The sequence below is a fragment of the Homo sapiens genome, chromosome 21, assembly GCF_000001405.40.
Source record: "Homo sapiens chromosome 21, GRCh38.p14 Primary Assembly".
Lineage (NCBI taxonomy): Eukaryota > Metazoa > Chordata > Mammalia > Primates > Hominidae > Homo > Homo sapiens.
In genome coordinates this window covers 38,362,706-38,379,026 of record NC_000021.9, presented here as the reverse complement: position 1 = coordinate 38,379,026, position 16,321 = coordinate 38,362,706, and the positions used below count along the sequence as shown (strand labels likewise).

The 16,321-nt window shown below is 39.8% G+C and overlaps 1 protein-coding gene across 1 annotated transcript in view; it reads left to right on the top strand.

Annotated features, from left to right (window-relative positions):
* ERG (ETS transcription factor ERG) overlaps positions 1 to 11,766 on the top strand; it is a 294,523-nt gene extending 282,757 nt beyond the window's left edge. The window contains exon 12 of the mRNA NM_001243432.2: positions 11,379 to 11,766. Within this exon, the coding sequence (NP_001230361.1) occupies positions 11,379 to 11,392 (14 nt within the window). The 3' untranslated portion in view covers positions 11,393 to 11,766. The remainder of the gene's footprint in view (positions 1 to 11,378) is intronic.

Here is a 16,321-nt window from a genome sequence, read left to right as displayed (position 1 = left end):
GAGATGTAGAATAGCAGCTTTTAATGAGCCATGACTAGGTCAGGTGCTGTATACACACTGCCTCATTACTCCTTCCAACTGCCCCTACGGTACACTTAAAAAAATGTCTTGACAGATTGAACAATTTGCCCAGCTCTGCAGCGTAAGAGGTGCAACAAATGCTTGTTCCAGGGCTAGTTAATTCCAAAAGCTTTTTCTTAATCTTAAGCTATTTTGCCTCATATGGACAGAAAATTAAACGGGAAGGTGACATGACTGCCCAATCTTAGGTTGCATTTTCTGAAACAGGTCACAAACGAGGACTTATTTGTTATACATTAGACTGCAACATCAATTCTGGGCCTACACTTAAAGAGGGACATAGGACAGTTAGTGCAGGTTCAGTGGGGAGAGACAAGGGGAATGAGAGAACCCAGGACCATGTCAAGTAGGGGCTGTCAGTGTCTCTGCTGAAAGTGGGATTACCCTTATCACCCATTGATTCAGGACCCAGCACAGTGCCTAGCAATATCAAGCTGTTGGAAAACGTTTGCAGCTATATGCATGAATGAACATCCAGAAAGGTAACATCTGGACTAAAGGTGGGCTCAGCAGGGATGCCCATTGGCCAAATTCAAGAGAAAGCTTTTTAGAAGTTGGAGGAGGTCCAGATGGAATGGTCAGCCTTTGTCCAGGAGTTCCTGGATATGAGGTGTGCTTATTTAACAACCATGCAACTATTTGCCAGGTGTTTGGCAGCACATGGACTACATGGCTATTTAGGTCTTCTTCGGTCCAGTGCAACTTGGGTTCTGTGAAATATTAAGTGTTGTCCATACATAGAAAGTCAGGGGTGAGAGTCTGAAATCAGTGATGGCTTAGTGGCCTCACTCTTGATCAGTGCCAGTTTGTCCTAAGAGTCAGCAGTACATTAGGGCTTTAGACATTACAGAGACAGTGGAATCACCCCAAATTGAATTATGTTGTGGCTCTGTGTCTCTAAATTGATTGGAGTCCAGTCTGCTTGGAGATTAAAATACATCCTATTTTCTCAGCACTGCAGGGCCCAGGTGAATGGTGAGAAGCAGCCAACTGATGGGATAAATGAACTTTGCTTTCATGTTTTCTCACTTATGAGGAAGACCACCCCCTACAGCACACTTGCATAAAAACATGTCCTGAGGGTGGTTGGTCACAGCCTGCTCAGCATTAGACATGCATCAGCTGAAAGAGTGTCAGTCTGCCTCAGGGGCCCTCAATCCCACTCCAGACTAACAATTTCCACCTCCAAGTCGTCGTGGGATGCCAGGAGCCAGGGCTGATCTCCATTTGCACTCATGAGGTTGAGGCTAAGGAAGGGGTGGGGTGTAGACAAAATATACAAGAAAGAATTTGGTGTAGAAGTCACGAACCATTCTGTAAAGTCTCTTAACTGGAAAGCCAGGATGTATCAAGATGTTAACAACTTTTTATTTTAAGTAAGTTCTCTTATTAATTTTTGGTTTTTCTACTCGGCAAGAATATAACTGAAACTTGTTTGAAAGGTTTGGAGGTGGGTGGATGTGTAACTTGCCCAACCTTTTTAAATTAAGGGTGAAGAGAAAGGAAAAGGCTAGCTGTCCTCTTCTTTTCTATGGCATCAGGGCAATGGTTTCTAAGCTGTCTCATCAGAATTGGCAGCAGGCTGCTGGCAGGAGGCGGAGGCTGGCATTCCAGTTCTAAGTAATTCCAGATATTAAGCTTTCAGGTCCAAAGAGGAGCCTCCCAATGGATATCATTTTCTCCTTTAAACAATAATACTAATTGCTACTACTTTTGATAATAATAATAGCTTAGTGCCAAACAATGTGCATACACTATCTTTTTCATTTAACTTGCACAATACCGCTTTGAGATAGTTTTATCCATATTTTACAGATGTGAAGCTTTGAGAGGTTAAACTATGTTATAAATCACTCTAAGTCACAGAAAAATCTTACAGCTTTCAGGACTTGAAATTGGAATGGCCTTCCTAAGCCATCGCTTGGACAGTCTTCAGGGCATGTCAAATGGAGTGCCCTCCCCTTATCTAGCTATGCTGGGCAGAAGCCCGGTTGTTGGTAGTTATCAGACAGGAAGCAAAGCGCAGCCCTCCCATTTCCTTGCTGCGCCCTTTGGTTTTAGGGCGGGAGTGCTGCTTGCTGGGGACGCAGGCGGACTCCAGGCCGCTTTGATGGAGAACACAGGATACGTGCTGCAGGTGCTCTTCTGGACGGAGTCCCAGCTGCTGGGCCATAACCTGGTGGAGGCGAGTGGGGCTGGGCCCCATGGCTGTGAAGAGACCCACCATACAGCGGCCTCAGGATTTTCTGTCTCCATCCGCTCTGATGCTTAGGGTCAGAGGAAAGGCCCTCTCAAGTCCGGCAGGGCCTGCCTCCAGGAGAATAAATGGCTGTTCCTTTCTTCCATCTTTGCAACCAACTCGGGAGTCAGGTGGATGAAAATGGAAACGTCCCTTTCCTAGTAGGAAGAACATGGGTTAAGCCTGCAGTGGGCAGACCAGCACTTCCACCCTTTCACTGATGTGGTTGGGAAGGTGCAGGACAGGAAGCGACTCCCATTGGACAGAGACCAGAACCGGTTTCCATCAGGGTAGGACCCGCCTCTTCCTGTGAAAGAGAGCGGAAGTGGTGGGAGAGAGCGAGAGTAACAACTGAGTGTCCGTCCCATGGAAACATGCATAGCGAGAAACGAACAACAGGCCCAGATTCACATCCGACAATTCCACAGTTCTCTTTAGAAGAAACCCCTCCCCTCATCATATTTTCTAACCTGAGACCCTGGGCCTGTCTGTGCCTCTGTGCATTCACACTAATGTGACATAGGGCATTTTAAAGTGGAACTATGCAATGGTCACTGGATTTTAAACCAACACTGTCAGGTCCATGTTCACTAAGCCACCCTACCCCAATTAAAAAGAAAATACTAACAGAGGGTCTATAGCTTTCATTCAAGGAAGGCTGAGTACTTGTTAAGATCATAGGATGGGCAACCACAATAGGATGAGCAAACAAACAAATGATTATTCATATGATGCTAGGAAGTTAATTAAGGCAGGAAGAAACTAGATAGAAGGGGTAAGACAGTTGGAAGGAGGCTGAATTGTTAAGTTAGTGTGTGATGTCCAGTTGTGTTGGGGGTGCAGGAGGATAATGAGCAAGACAGTGGGACTATGACTACCCGGGGCCCACAACAGACCAGAGATGCCTATAAAAGGACCCTGTGACTCCTGTGGAGTGTTATACACACCAAGTAAACAAGTGATGCGCAATCAAGCCAAATGAACCCAGGCTATAGAACGTTCAGCTTCAGTTGAGTGAACACTATGTTTTGAGGTCTGTTTACAGGTTGTGATTTCACCAAAGTGTTTCCTTTTCTCAATCCAGTTCTTCAATCCAATTCTCAGTTTTTGTTCCACGGTGTGTCGGGCTCTGTGGGAATGGTTTTTGGAAATAAGGTTACTGTATTATTAGCATCCAAGATAAAATCAGTGGGGAGCAAGAATGTCTGCTCTCATTTACTTAACAAGCATTTGCTAAGAATCTTTGATGTCACAATGATGTAAGAGGTACAGAAAGGTGTTAGGGAGTTCTTGCCCTTGGAGAGATTATAATCTAGAAAGGGAAAATGTACATAAAAATCTCTAATGCAAGACAAGACATGCATGCACCTATCGTGGTTCCCCATCCTAGGAGCCTGACTCTCATAACATAGAGGTCGGGTTTTAAGTCAGGTCTTTCTCAGAGGTAAAACAGCACAGTGGCTCCTCATGGTGGGTTTGGAACCAAACAGAACCTGATCCAAATCCTGCCCTTGCTGCTTTAACAGCTAAGTGAACTTAGAAAAAATGATCTTAACAAGTACTCAGCCTTCCTTGAATGAAAGCTATAGATGCTGTGTTAGTATTTTCTTCTTAATTGGAGTAGGGCAGCTTAGCATGTGTGAGCTGCTTCTGAGTATGAGGATACTCATACTCATATAGTGGGCTGAGCAGGAAAGGCTTATTGAAGGAGGTGATATTTCAGAAAGGGAAGGGTTTTGATGAATAGAATGCATTCCAGGCAGGGAATTTTTTCTTTTCTTGAGCAAAGGCATGGGGTCAGAAAACAATCTTCAGGAGCAAAACATACTAGTGATGGAAACAAAACAAAACAAAACCCAAGCAGTCTGTGGTTTAAAAAACAATATAAGGCCAAGTACAACGTTCATTTTTTGTATTTAATGAACCAAAAAATACTGAGGAGTGGGGCTTGGGGCATCTTGCTACACCTGTGGACCATGTCTGAAAAGTCTTGGCACTTCTGGGTCTGACCTACCATAGTCTGTTGTAGGGGTTCAATCAGGCTGGTGGGAAAAATATTAAAGATGGTTATAGTAACAGCCACAGACTCTCTTGGAAGGCCTGAGAGTTTGCATAACTTCGGTAATAGATCTGGCTGAAGGTGGCCTGGTCCCTTTACCTTTAGTTAAATATATTAAAGTAGTAACAAAGGAATGTGGAGAGTTTTTCTAGCTAGCTTGTTTACTCATGTGGTCTTAAGACTAACCTTTGATTTACCACAGGTGCTTAATTGCTTTCTACTCGGGAAGTCCACATTGTCAATTACCCTGTAGTGGTGTTGACTCGAGCCTTTGTCAATTAATCTTTACCAAATAAATGTAAGTCTCACTAGCTGGTCGACAACTGTTTACAGTACTCTCCAGGGAGTCTGTAAGCAGCTGAGACACTTAGCTGGACTGGCAAAGCAGAATATCTGTGTGTCAGTGTACATTATTCATCTGTCATTGGGTCAGGGTCTGTGGGGCAGACGCCCACAGCCTGTGGTATGAAGAAGGGTTGGAGCACAAGAGAGCGAAAAATTGGCTGCACACATTTTAAAATATAAGCCATTCAAATAATAAGCAGTTTTGGGAGATGTCCCTAAGACTTTTTTTCAAGTGGCTTCTATCTCTTCCTTGGGTAGAGATTATATTAAACAATTGCTGAAAAATATGTAAATATTGGGGGATGATCTAAACATTTGAGGATGAGGGATGTAAAAGCATATTTGAGGATATCTCACATTGCTGTGAAATATAATAGAAAGGTGACAATAACAATATACATTTTTCATGTGCTTAAAAAAAAATAGTTTACAAAGAGCTTACTCATGTGCTGTCTCAGTTCATCATAGCAAAAAATCTTGAAGACAGAAATTTATTTATTCTTTCATTCACAACAAAGATTTGATCTACAATAGTAGATGTGGAATTAGGCCCAAGGAATACAAAAAGAAATAGAACACAGGCCCTGACTTTGTAGACCTCAGAGTCTTGCAGAATTCCTGTCCCCATTTGAAGATGAGAAGTAGAGACTCCAAGATGGTAATATACATCTTAAAACATGTAGCTAGTGAAAAGCAGAGCTTGAACTCAGACCCAGGACTTGGATGCTAGCCAGGTACATTTTCAACCTCCCAGTGCTACTTTCTCAATGGTACTACAAGAACGTGATACAGAAAAAAACAGGAAGCCAGGCAGTTGGTTTGTATATTTACAGAGGTACTGACCTTTCTGTGGAGGGAAATATGCCTATTGTAGGCATTATTACCAGATCTTACGTCTCAGCATCTCATTCCTCCACCCTCAAGCCCAAGGTAGAGTAGTTTAAATTGAACTTCTCAAAGTTCTTGGGGAAATTTTTGAAAACAAAATGTAAAAGGAAACAATAAGAAGAGTAGCAAAACGAGAGAGATGTTGGGAGAAGTTATCCCATTAATGGGAAAAGATTAGAGTCTATAGGATTCACAAGCAATGGGGACCTAGACCATTATGAATGTTTAAGTCCTGGATACTTACAGGAATTCAGAGTGTGGCTCTGCCAGGGAGCTGAAGCCTTGGTTATGCAGATTCTAGCCCCATCAGGGATCCCTGTACCTTTACTTGACACTGAAACCACAACCTATAGGGTTTGGAGCAAAGAGTGTGCACTGAGGACCAGAAGACTTTTGCTTCCAGGATCTATGGATAGAGCAGAACTCACAATGATGATGACATTAAAATATTCAAAATTCTCACCAATTCTTGGTGGAGTCAATTTCATTTTGATTTTATAACAAGAAGAAAATAATTTCTTGCACTACATTCATACCTACTTTTTAATATAGTTGTGTGAGCTATTGATAAAACAGGTGAAAAAAAAAACAAGAAATGGAAGATTAACAAACTTGACTTAATGGGGTTAGAGTACTGCTCCCAACAACTAAAAAATACAAATTCTTACACATGAATCATTTTTACAAATTTACCATGAATAGGTTTATAAAGAAAATCACAACACATTTAAATGACTAAAATAATATAATACCTACTCAGACCTAAAGTAATTATGCTAGATGTCAATTAAAAGTTAAGTAGAAAAATTTACTTAGGAAATATACTAACGTTTCAAAAAAGAAATTACAATGTAATTTAGACAATATGATTTAATATAATAAAATACATATAAAATTTGTGGTATACAGCTAAAACAGCAAATAGAAATTTATAGTCCTAAATATTTATATTGAAATAGAAAAAAAAGGATGATAATTAGTAAACTAAGCATCCATTTTAAAAAGTTGGCAAAAAGGCAGCAAAACAAACAAAAAACAAATAAAAACAATTAGGAAGTGGGATATTATAAAGATAACAGAAATTAACAAATTGAACAACTGAAAATACAGAGAATCAACAAAGATAAAAATTGGAGTTTTTTAAAAGATTAATAAAATGGACAAATCTTGTCTTTAGTGAGAGTACTTTAAAAAAGAAAAGACAGATAATATTAAGAATAAAAATGGGGATAAGTCTATGGTTGCTAAAGACTTTCAAATGATTAGAAGATGTTGTGAACTACTTTATGCCTATTTGTTTGAAAAGTATATTAAATGAATAAATTTGTGTAGAAAACAAACCTAGCAAAACTGACACAAGAAGAAACAGAAAACCTGAATGATCTTACAGCCATTAAAGAAACTGAATTCATAGTCATAGCTTTTCCCACAAAGAAAGCTAAAGTCAGATGGCTTCATCAGTTAGGTCAATCAAATATTTAAGGTCCAAAATTTCCCAAAATATGGTGGAGAATATAAAAAAGAATAATACTCCCCAATAAAATTTTTAAAATTTGTAGGCTAACATAACTTTGATGCCAAAAACAATAACAGTACAAAAAAAGGCCAATTATTCTTATGAATGCAAGATGCAAAAATTTTAACCAAATATTCATAAGGAGAATTCAGCCATGTATAAAAAAGAAATTATATCATGATCAAGGTGGGTTGATCAAAATAGTGCAAAGTTGGGTTAATATCGGGAAATCAATTAATGTATCCCCCACATGAAAACATTATAGGAAAAAAGTATGATTATCTGAATACATATAGAAAGTAAAATTAAGCATCTATATCTTATTAACTACTAGCAAACTAAGAAAAGAATATGACTTCTTTAACTTGATAATAGTGTCTATAGAAAATGTATAGCAAATATTTCACATAAAGCTATATAATTAAAAGCATTTTCTTTGCTGTCAAGAACAAGAAAAAGATGCTTACTATTCAACATAGGTTTGGAGGCTCACCAGAATACTATGGTAAGGAAAAAAGAAATAAAAATGGTAAGTATTGGAATGAAACAAATCTATTATTATTCATAGAAAATATGGCTGTGCATGTATAAAATTCTAATTAATCATTAGGTTAATTTTTGAATTTTATTTAAGAGTTTTAGCAAAATTGTTGGAATCAAAATTCAATTGCATTTTTACATACTAACATATACATTGAGAAGGTTAAATTTAAAAATATATCATTTTCAATAGCATAAAAATGTAATACCTAAGAATAATTCTATAAAGATATGCAAGAGCTTTATGGGAAAACAATAAACCTTCATTTAAAAACATTAAAGACAACGTAAGCAAATGAAGTGATGGATCATGTACATGGATTTAATAATTCCATATTATAAAGATGTCTATTGTTTGCAAGATAATCTAGAAACCCACTGCAATTCCTCTGAAAAAAAAAATCCGGCAGTACATTTTTTTTTTTACAAGCTGTTTTTAAAATTACACAGAGGGCCAGATTGCACAGGCCCAGCTATGCTTGAAAGCACAGCACATGTGTTGTGTTTTTTGTTCCCCTAGGAACTAAATCTTATTATAAAGTTATTGTAATTAAGAATAACAGTATGGATGGCTCAAAAGAGACACAACAATGGAATAGGAAAGTCCATAAACTAATCTAACAGATATGCATACTTGATATAATCAGAAATAGTACTAAACATCAACTCAGAAAGAGTGGATTTTTCAATAAATGAGGCCAAACAACTAGAAATCTTTATAATGGGGAAAATTAATTGGACCCCTACATAATACCACATGTAAAAATCAGTCACACATATATGATTAAGGATTTAAATGTAAAATTTAAACTTATAAAGCATTTTAGAAGGTATTACAGGAGAATATGACCTTGAGGTGCAAAACGGTTTTATAAAACAAGACATAAAAACTACAACCTGTAAAAGAAATATTGATAGATATTACTATATTAACATTAAGGGTGTTTAAATTAAAATATATCATTAAAGAGAGTGAAAAGATAAACTACCTGCTGGGAGAAAGTTTTGTAACTCATATCACCTGCAAAACACTAGTAACCAAAATGTTTAACTATTGTAAATCAACAAGTAAAAACGGTGGGAAATATGCAAAAGAATTGAATAGATCACTTTTCAAGAGTGGAAACATGATGAACAATTAATTATAAACAATGCTCAAGCTCATGGTAACTAAGGGTATATAAATTAAAATCAAAATAATATCTATTTTGCACCCACCATATTGTCAAACATTAAAAAGTCTGATATGAAAAAGCCCGAATAGCCAAGACAGTCCTAAGCAAAAAGAACAAAGCTGAAGGCATCACACTACCCAACTTTAAACTATAATACAGGGCTACAGTAACCAAAACAGCATGGTACTGGTACAAAAAACAGACACATAGACCAATGGAACAGAATAGAGAACCCAGAAATAAGACTGCACACTTACAACCATCTGATCTTGGACAAAAGTGACAAAAACAAGCAATGGGGAAAGGATTCCCTGTTCAATAAATGGTGCTAGGATAAGTGGTAAGTCATATGCAGAATATTGAAACTAGACCCCCTCTTTACACCATATACAAAAATTAAAGCAAGATGGATTAAAGACTTAAATGTAAAACCCAAAACTATAAAAATCATGGAAGACAACCTAGGCAATATCATTCAGGACATAGGCACAGGCAAAGGTTTCATGATGAAGATGCCAAAAGCAACTGAACAAAAGCAAAAATTGACAAATAGGATCTAATTAACAAGCTTCTGCACAGCAAAATAAACTATCAACAGAGTAAACAGACAATCTACAGAATGGGAGAAAAATTTTGCAAACTATACATCTAACAAAGGTCTAATATCCAGCATCTATAAGGAACTTAAATTTATTAATTTCTTTACAAAGAAAAGAAACAACCCTTGTAAAAAGTGAGCAAAGGTCATGAACAGACACTTTTCAGAAGAAAACATACATGTGGCCAACAATTATTTGAAAAAACAGCTCAACATGACTGATCATTAGAGAAATGCAAATCAAAACCACAATAAGATACCATCTAACACCAGTCAGAATGGCTATTATTAAAAAGTCAAAAAATAACAGATGCTGGCAAGGTTGTGAATAAAAAGGAATGCTTATACACTGTTGGTGGGAGTGTGAATTAGTTCAGCCATTGTGGAAGACAGGGTGGTGATTCCTCAAAGACCTAAAGACAGAAATACCATTCGATTTAGCAATCCCATTACTGGGTATATACACAAAGGAGTATAAAACATTCTATTATAAAGACATGTTCACCTCAGTGTTCTCTGCAGCACTATTCACAATAGCAAAGGCATGAAATCAGCCTAAATGCCCATCAATGATAGACTGGATAAAGAAAATATGGTACATGTACACCAAGAAATTCTATGTAACCATAAAAAGAATGAGATCATGTCCTTTGCAGGGACATGGATGGAGCTGGAGGTCATTATCCTTCACAGACTCACACAGGAACAGAAAACCAAATACCGTATGTTCTCACTTATAAGTGGGAGCTAAATGATGAGAATACATGGACGCATAGAGGGGAACAACACACACTGGGGCCTTTCAGAGCGGGGAGGGTGGGAGGAGGGAGAAGATCTGGAAAAATAACTTATGGGTACTAGGCTTAATACCTGAGTGATGAAATAGTCTGGACAACAAACACCCATGACACAAGTTTATCTATGTAATAAACCTGCACTTGTACCCCTGAACTCAAAATTAAAGTTAATAAAAAAAAGTCTGATACAGTTTGGATCTATGTCCCTGCTCAAATCTCATGTTCAGTTGTAATCCCCAGTGTTGGAGTTGGGGCCTGGTGGGAGGTGATTGGGTCATGCATATAGAAAAAAGAAATTTTTTCATGAGCATTCATCAACCAAGAATCCATCAACATTAGATTGGATTAGCCAATGCAGGTATATCCACATAATGGAGTTTATACAGCAATTAATGAAACTAACAAACTCACTGTCGCACCAAAGGGGCATGTAGCAGGACAACATATATGATATGGTTCCATTTATTTACATTTTGAAAGCAGAGAAAGATAATATATTATTTAGGGGTCATGCAATGGTAGTGAAAAAAGCAAAACAAACAAACAAAAAAACGAGGAAAAGCAAGGGAATGATTATTCCAAAGCCAAGATAGTGATTACCTCTCAACGGGAAGAAGAGGGATGGGGTTAAGAAGGGAGAATCAGATCTTTTAAGAGCCTGGCAATGTTCTAATTCTCTTTGTGGTAGTGTTTTCTTTATTGGTTATACATGTTCATTTCAAACACTGTTCTGTATATACAATGTCCCTTTGACTTTAGTTATTTTTTAAATAATATGGAAAAAGAACCCTTCCCATCACGGGTCCAGAGGCCTAGGATGGAAGCTGAGCCCCAGTTTTGCTTCCACCAGGAGCATGCCCCTGTTGGAGCAGTGTTCAGCAATGTTGTGAAATGTGCTGCACTCTAATTGTTCTCTGCAGAGGATGTTTCATGTCCTCCTGGGAGGTGGCTGAGAGTTCACTCTCTGTACCGTAGGTTTCGTTATTCCACAGAAGGTTTGCTTCCTCTGCCAAATGCCCTCTGTTGGTTAGTTATTGTTGATGAAAGTCTGTGCAGAATTCTGTCTTGTTCTAATATGGGTCGCCTATGATTTTCCTCTTTTCAAGAGTGGAGCTTAATTTCCCCACCCTTTTTGTATAGGTTGGACCCAATGATCTGCTTTTAATGAATAGAATATAGCAGATGTGACAGTGTGTGACTTCTGGGACTGGGTCATAGAAGGCAGCGTGGCCTTCTCTTTGCATCACTTATTCTGGGGGAAGAGACTGCCATGTCATGAAGACTTGCAGCCCTACAGAGAAGTGTATGGGATGAGGAAATGAAGCCTCCTGTCAAAAGCCAATTCTCCAGCCCCAGTCAAGCCTTCGTGTAACCTCAGTCTTGGTCAACATCTTAACTGAAACCTCATGAGAGACCCTGAGCCACCAGCCACCCACGTGAGCTGCTTCTGAATGCCTGATCCACCAAAACTGTGAGATAATAAATGTTTATGGAGAAATTTGTTACACAGCAATAAATAGTTACACAGTGACTGATGCATCTTGTTTTCTCTGGACTTCGGCCTGTGACTTCTGTCTAACCTAGTACATCGCGTTAGACCTGAAGAATGGCTAAGCTGAGATAGCCTTGGTAGACCTTAGATCTGCAAAGTGCTCTCTCTGCTTCTGAAATACCTTTGGCTGGCTCTTCTCTCATTCCATTGTGAAAGTATATGACGACGCTCAGATTTTCTGAAGCCAAAGACTATTGCTTAAGGAAATATTCCCCCCACGCCTAGATGTAAAAGGGCTGTTGTAGAAGCATAAGTGGGACCCTGAAATTCTGGATTTTGTAGTTCAAATAGTGTGGGCTTTCAAACCCCACAGGCGTGCATTTATTCCTACCACTTGCTGGTTGCGTGATCTTGGGTATGTCATTTAGTTCCTCAGAAGTTCTCTTTCCTTATCTGTTGAGCAAATAATAGTCACCCAATAAATATACATTACTTAGGATTAAGTTTGCTATGAGAGAAGAAAAACAATGGCTTCATTGAGGTAGAAGTTTGCATCTTTTCTGTGTAAAAATCCAGAGGTGTATGGCCAAGGGCTATTGTGGATCCGCAGGGTAAGAAGATCCAGGATCTTTGTTATCTTGTTGCTCCCCTGTGCATAGTTATGCTGGTCAAACATAGATGCTCTAATTCCAACATATTCATGGAAAAGCAAGTCCAAGTTGGACTTGCACTAGGTATCAGAGTTCTACCAGAAAAACAGAACCAGTAAGATATATATTTATTTATTTCAAGGAATTGGGGGTCTGGCTGGGAAAGCCTGAAATCCTTAGGCTAGCAGGCTGGAAACTGTGGTGGGAGCTGACATTGTCATCTACAAGCAGCATTTCTTCTTTCTCAGTGTGGCTCTTAATGTCTTTCAACATGGCCCACCCACCCAGGCTAAAAAGGATAATCTTCTTTACTCAAAGCAAACTGATTGTTGATGCTAACCACATCTACAGAATACCTTCACAGAGCAACTCTGAGACTTGTGTTGGAACAACTGACCAACACAGGCTACAAGTCTTTTTCAAGACTGATTTCCCACAAGTTGGTGTCTGAGTTGGTACAGCTGAGTGCTCGAGGTGGCAAATCAGGTCCCATCTGCCATGTCATGGAAACTGAGACTGCAAGGTTTGGACTTCAAACCCTGGTTCACCAAGGGATGGAATGAGTGTTCCTCAGCCATGAATCTGAGCTGATGGAATTAAACCAGAGACAGGTCCCGCTGCCTCTTACTGCTGTTGGATCCAAACTCCTAGTCTTTCTAGGAGACATAAGTTTAAAACCCTCCTAAGGGTTAAGTCCCTCTCCCACAGTCAGATGCCAGGCCCTGTAAGCCCTCTGTGCACTGCTGCAGAACCATTATGTCCAACAGGTGATCCACATGCTCACTTCTGCTCCTGACTCCTGGAGTTTTCTCCAACAAGTGCTTCCCCAGCAGGCCCCGTGTGCGTTTCATCAGGGCATGTGTCTTTGGTTGAATAACATCTGCAGTCCAGCTAGCACTAATGAGGAAAGGATAAAGAACAGGGACAAAAAGCATGTGACAGATGTCCCTTAGGGAAGTCCCTATAAGCTGCTGCATGGCATGTGTGATTACTCCCCATTGATCAGATGGTAGGCAGTGCCTGCATCTGACAGCAAGGGGCCAGAAGAATGCTGTCATTGCTCTGTGACTATGGAGAAGGCATGAGAAGAGAGATTGGGGCACACTACAGCTTCCACCAGTGGGGCTACCACCCAGCACAGAGGACCCCTTTGTGTAAATAAGTAAAGGCACTTGCTCAGGGCAGACAAACCCTCTGGGCAAATAATTCATAACAATGTGCCCCTCCCTGGGGTTACACACACTCAAGGCAAGTGCAAGACTGGGTGATGGGAGCTTGGGCTCCATGTGAGCCTTCATTTGCCCCTCAGCTCTGCACCTCTCTGTAGTGCCTGGTCTGCACAGAACCATTTGTTCTCTTTCAGGACTCAGCAATTTCGTGGTGTCAAAATCGTTTTATTTTTATTTTATTTTATTTTTTAATTTTTTTAAATTTTACTTTAAGTTCTGAGATACGTGTGCAGAACGTGCAGGTTTGTTACCTAGGTATACATGTGCCATGGTGCTTTGCTGCACCTATCAACCCGTCATCTAGGTTTTAAGCCTTGCATGCATTAGGTATTTGTCCTAATGCTCTCCCTCCCATTGCCCCCCACCTCCCGACAGGCCCTGGTGTATGATGTTCCCCTCCATGTGTCCATGTGTTCTCATTGTTCAATTGTCACTTATGAGTGAGAACATGCAGTGTTTGGTTTTCTGTTCCTGTGTTAGTTTGCTGAGAATGATGGCTTCCATCTTCACCCATGTCCCTGCAAAGGACATGAACTCATTCCTTTTTATGGCTGCATAGTATTCCATGGTGTATATGTGCCACATTTTCTTTATCCAGTCTATTATTGATGGGTATTTGCGTTGGTTCCAAGTCTTTACTATTATAAATAGTGTGGCAATAAACATATGTGTGCATGCATCTTTATAACAGAATGATTTATAATCTTTTGGGTATATATCCAGTAATGGGACTGCTTGGTCAAATGGTATTTCTGGCTCTAGATCCTTGAGAAATTGCCACACTGCCTTCCACAGTGGTTGAATTAACTTACATTCCCAGCAACAGTGTAAAAGCGTTTCTATTTCTCCACAGCCTTGCCAGCATCTAGGAGTCAAAGTCCTTCAATACCAAAAGTCTGTCTCATGCCCCCAGCCAGGAAATAAAATGCCATCTGAAGGCAGAATCCTGCATGTTTTCTCTTTACAGATCAGAAATGCTCTCTTCTATACTAGTACCTACATAGCAATCCTAGAGGGGTTCTGAACTTGAGATTTTGTGAAGACACTGCAAGGATTTGATGACTGTGACTGCAGCCACACTCTTTCAGGAGCACCAAATATCATGTACTTTACATTTTCATACATCATAGACCACAATATATGCACACGGAGGATGTTCTGTTGTTGATTTCCAGTTTCCTCCTCATCTGAATTAGCCTCTGTATGCAATCCGCCATTCCCAGTTCTATTTTCTTTATTTATCTGTGTTATTTGTTTCTCATTAACATCGTTGCTGGTATAACTCAATGAAAGTAAGAGTCCTGGCACCTGGCAGCCACCTAACGAACATGTGTTGTTGAATCAACAGAAGGCTGAATCAGGAAGCAATTACTTGTAAATGATACAGTTTTGTAAAGTCCAGGGCTCAACTTCAGACAGAGATGCATCCCAGATCTCAAAGGACATCTTCATGACTTGCCCTTCCTCCATCTCTCAGCTTTATCTCCTTTCAGTTGGCCTCAGTCTTGGGCAGGCTCATTTTATGCAACACCAAAATAGTTGCTCAAACTCTAAGCTTACAGAAGCGTTTCTCAACCTCTGCATTATTGGCATTTGTGGCAGAATAATTCTTTGTTGGGGATGGTTGTCCCATGCATTTGTAGGAGGTTCAACTGCATCCCTGGTTTCTACCCAATACATGTCAGTAGCACATCCCTAGAAGTGACAACCAAAAATGTCTCCAGGTGTTCCCAAATGTCCCATGGGAGGTGAAATCACCACTGGTTGAGAATCCCTGGCTTACATCATGGCCTCTCAACCACTCCAACAGAAATAGCATTGTTTTTCCCAGTAGTCTCAAGAGAGTCCTGGAATTGAGTCTCACTCACTGACTTTGGTCACATATCCATCCCCAAACCCATCACTGTAGCCAAATAAATGGGAGGTTTCAACTGACCAGACCTAAGTTTTTGGAGTTAGGGTTTGGTTCAACACATGCAAACTGCAGATGGTTAGAGAGGAGTTGTTACACAAAGAGGAAAAAGGCACTTGTGACCATAGGGAAGAAGTGTCGTGCTGGCCTGAAGGAAGTCTCTTCTCACACATGTAGTCTGCACTGGGCCCATTTCATGCCCATGTCATCGTAGCTTTCAGGCACTAAGAAAATGCATATTGGGGCCGGGTATGGTGGCTCATGCCTGTAATCCCAGAACTTTGGGAGGCCGAAGTGGGTGGATCACTTGAGGCCAGGAGTTCAAGACCAGCCTGGCCAATATGGTGAAACCCTGTCTCTACTAAAAATACAAAAATTAGCTGGGCGTGTTGGCACGTGCTTGTAATCCCAGCTACACGGGAGGCTGAGCCATGAGAATCACTTGAACCCAAGATGCAGAGGCTGCAGTGAGCCAAGATCGTGCCATTGCACTCCAGCCTGTGCAACAGAGCAAGACTCCATCTCAAAATAAATAAATAAATAAATAAATGCATATTATTTTAGTTATTTTAGAATTTTAATCAATAGATCAGAGATTCTTAGCTAGGGCTGGGTACCCTCTAAATTGCATAGAAAAAAATGTTTGTATGTGTGAATTTTTATGATGAGATGGCCCATCGTTTTCATCAAATCCCCAAAGTTTACCATTACTCCAAAATAATAAATGCAACTTCTCTAGAGATTTGCTTCCTAGTTTCAAATTTTTCAGTGGTGAATCAAATACCGACCTAGGAAGAGCC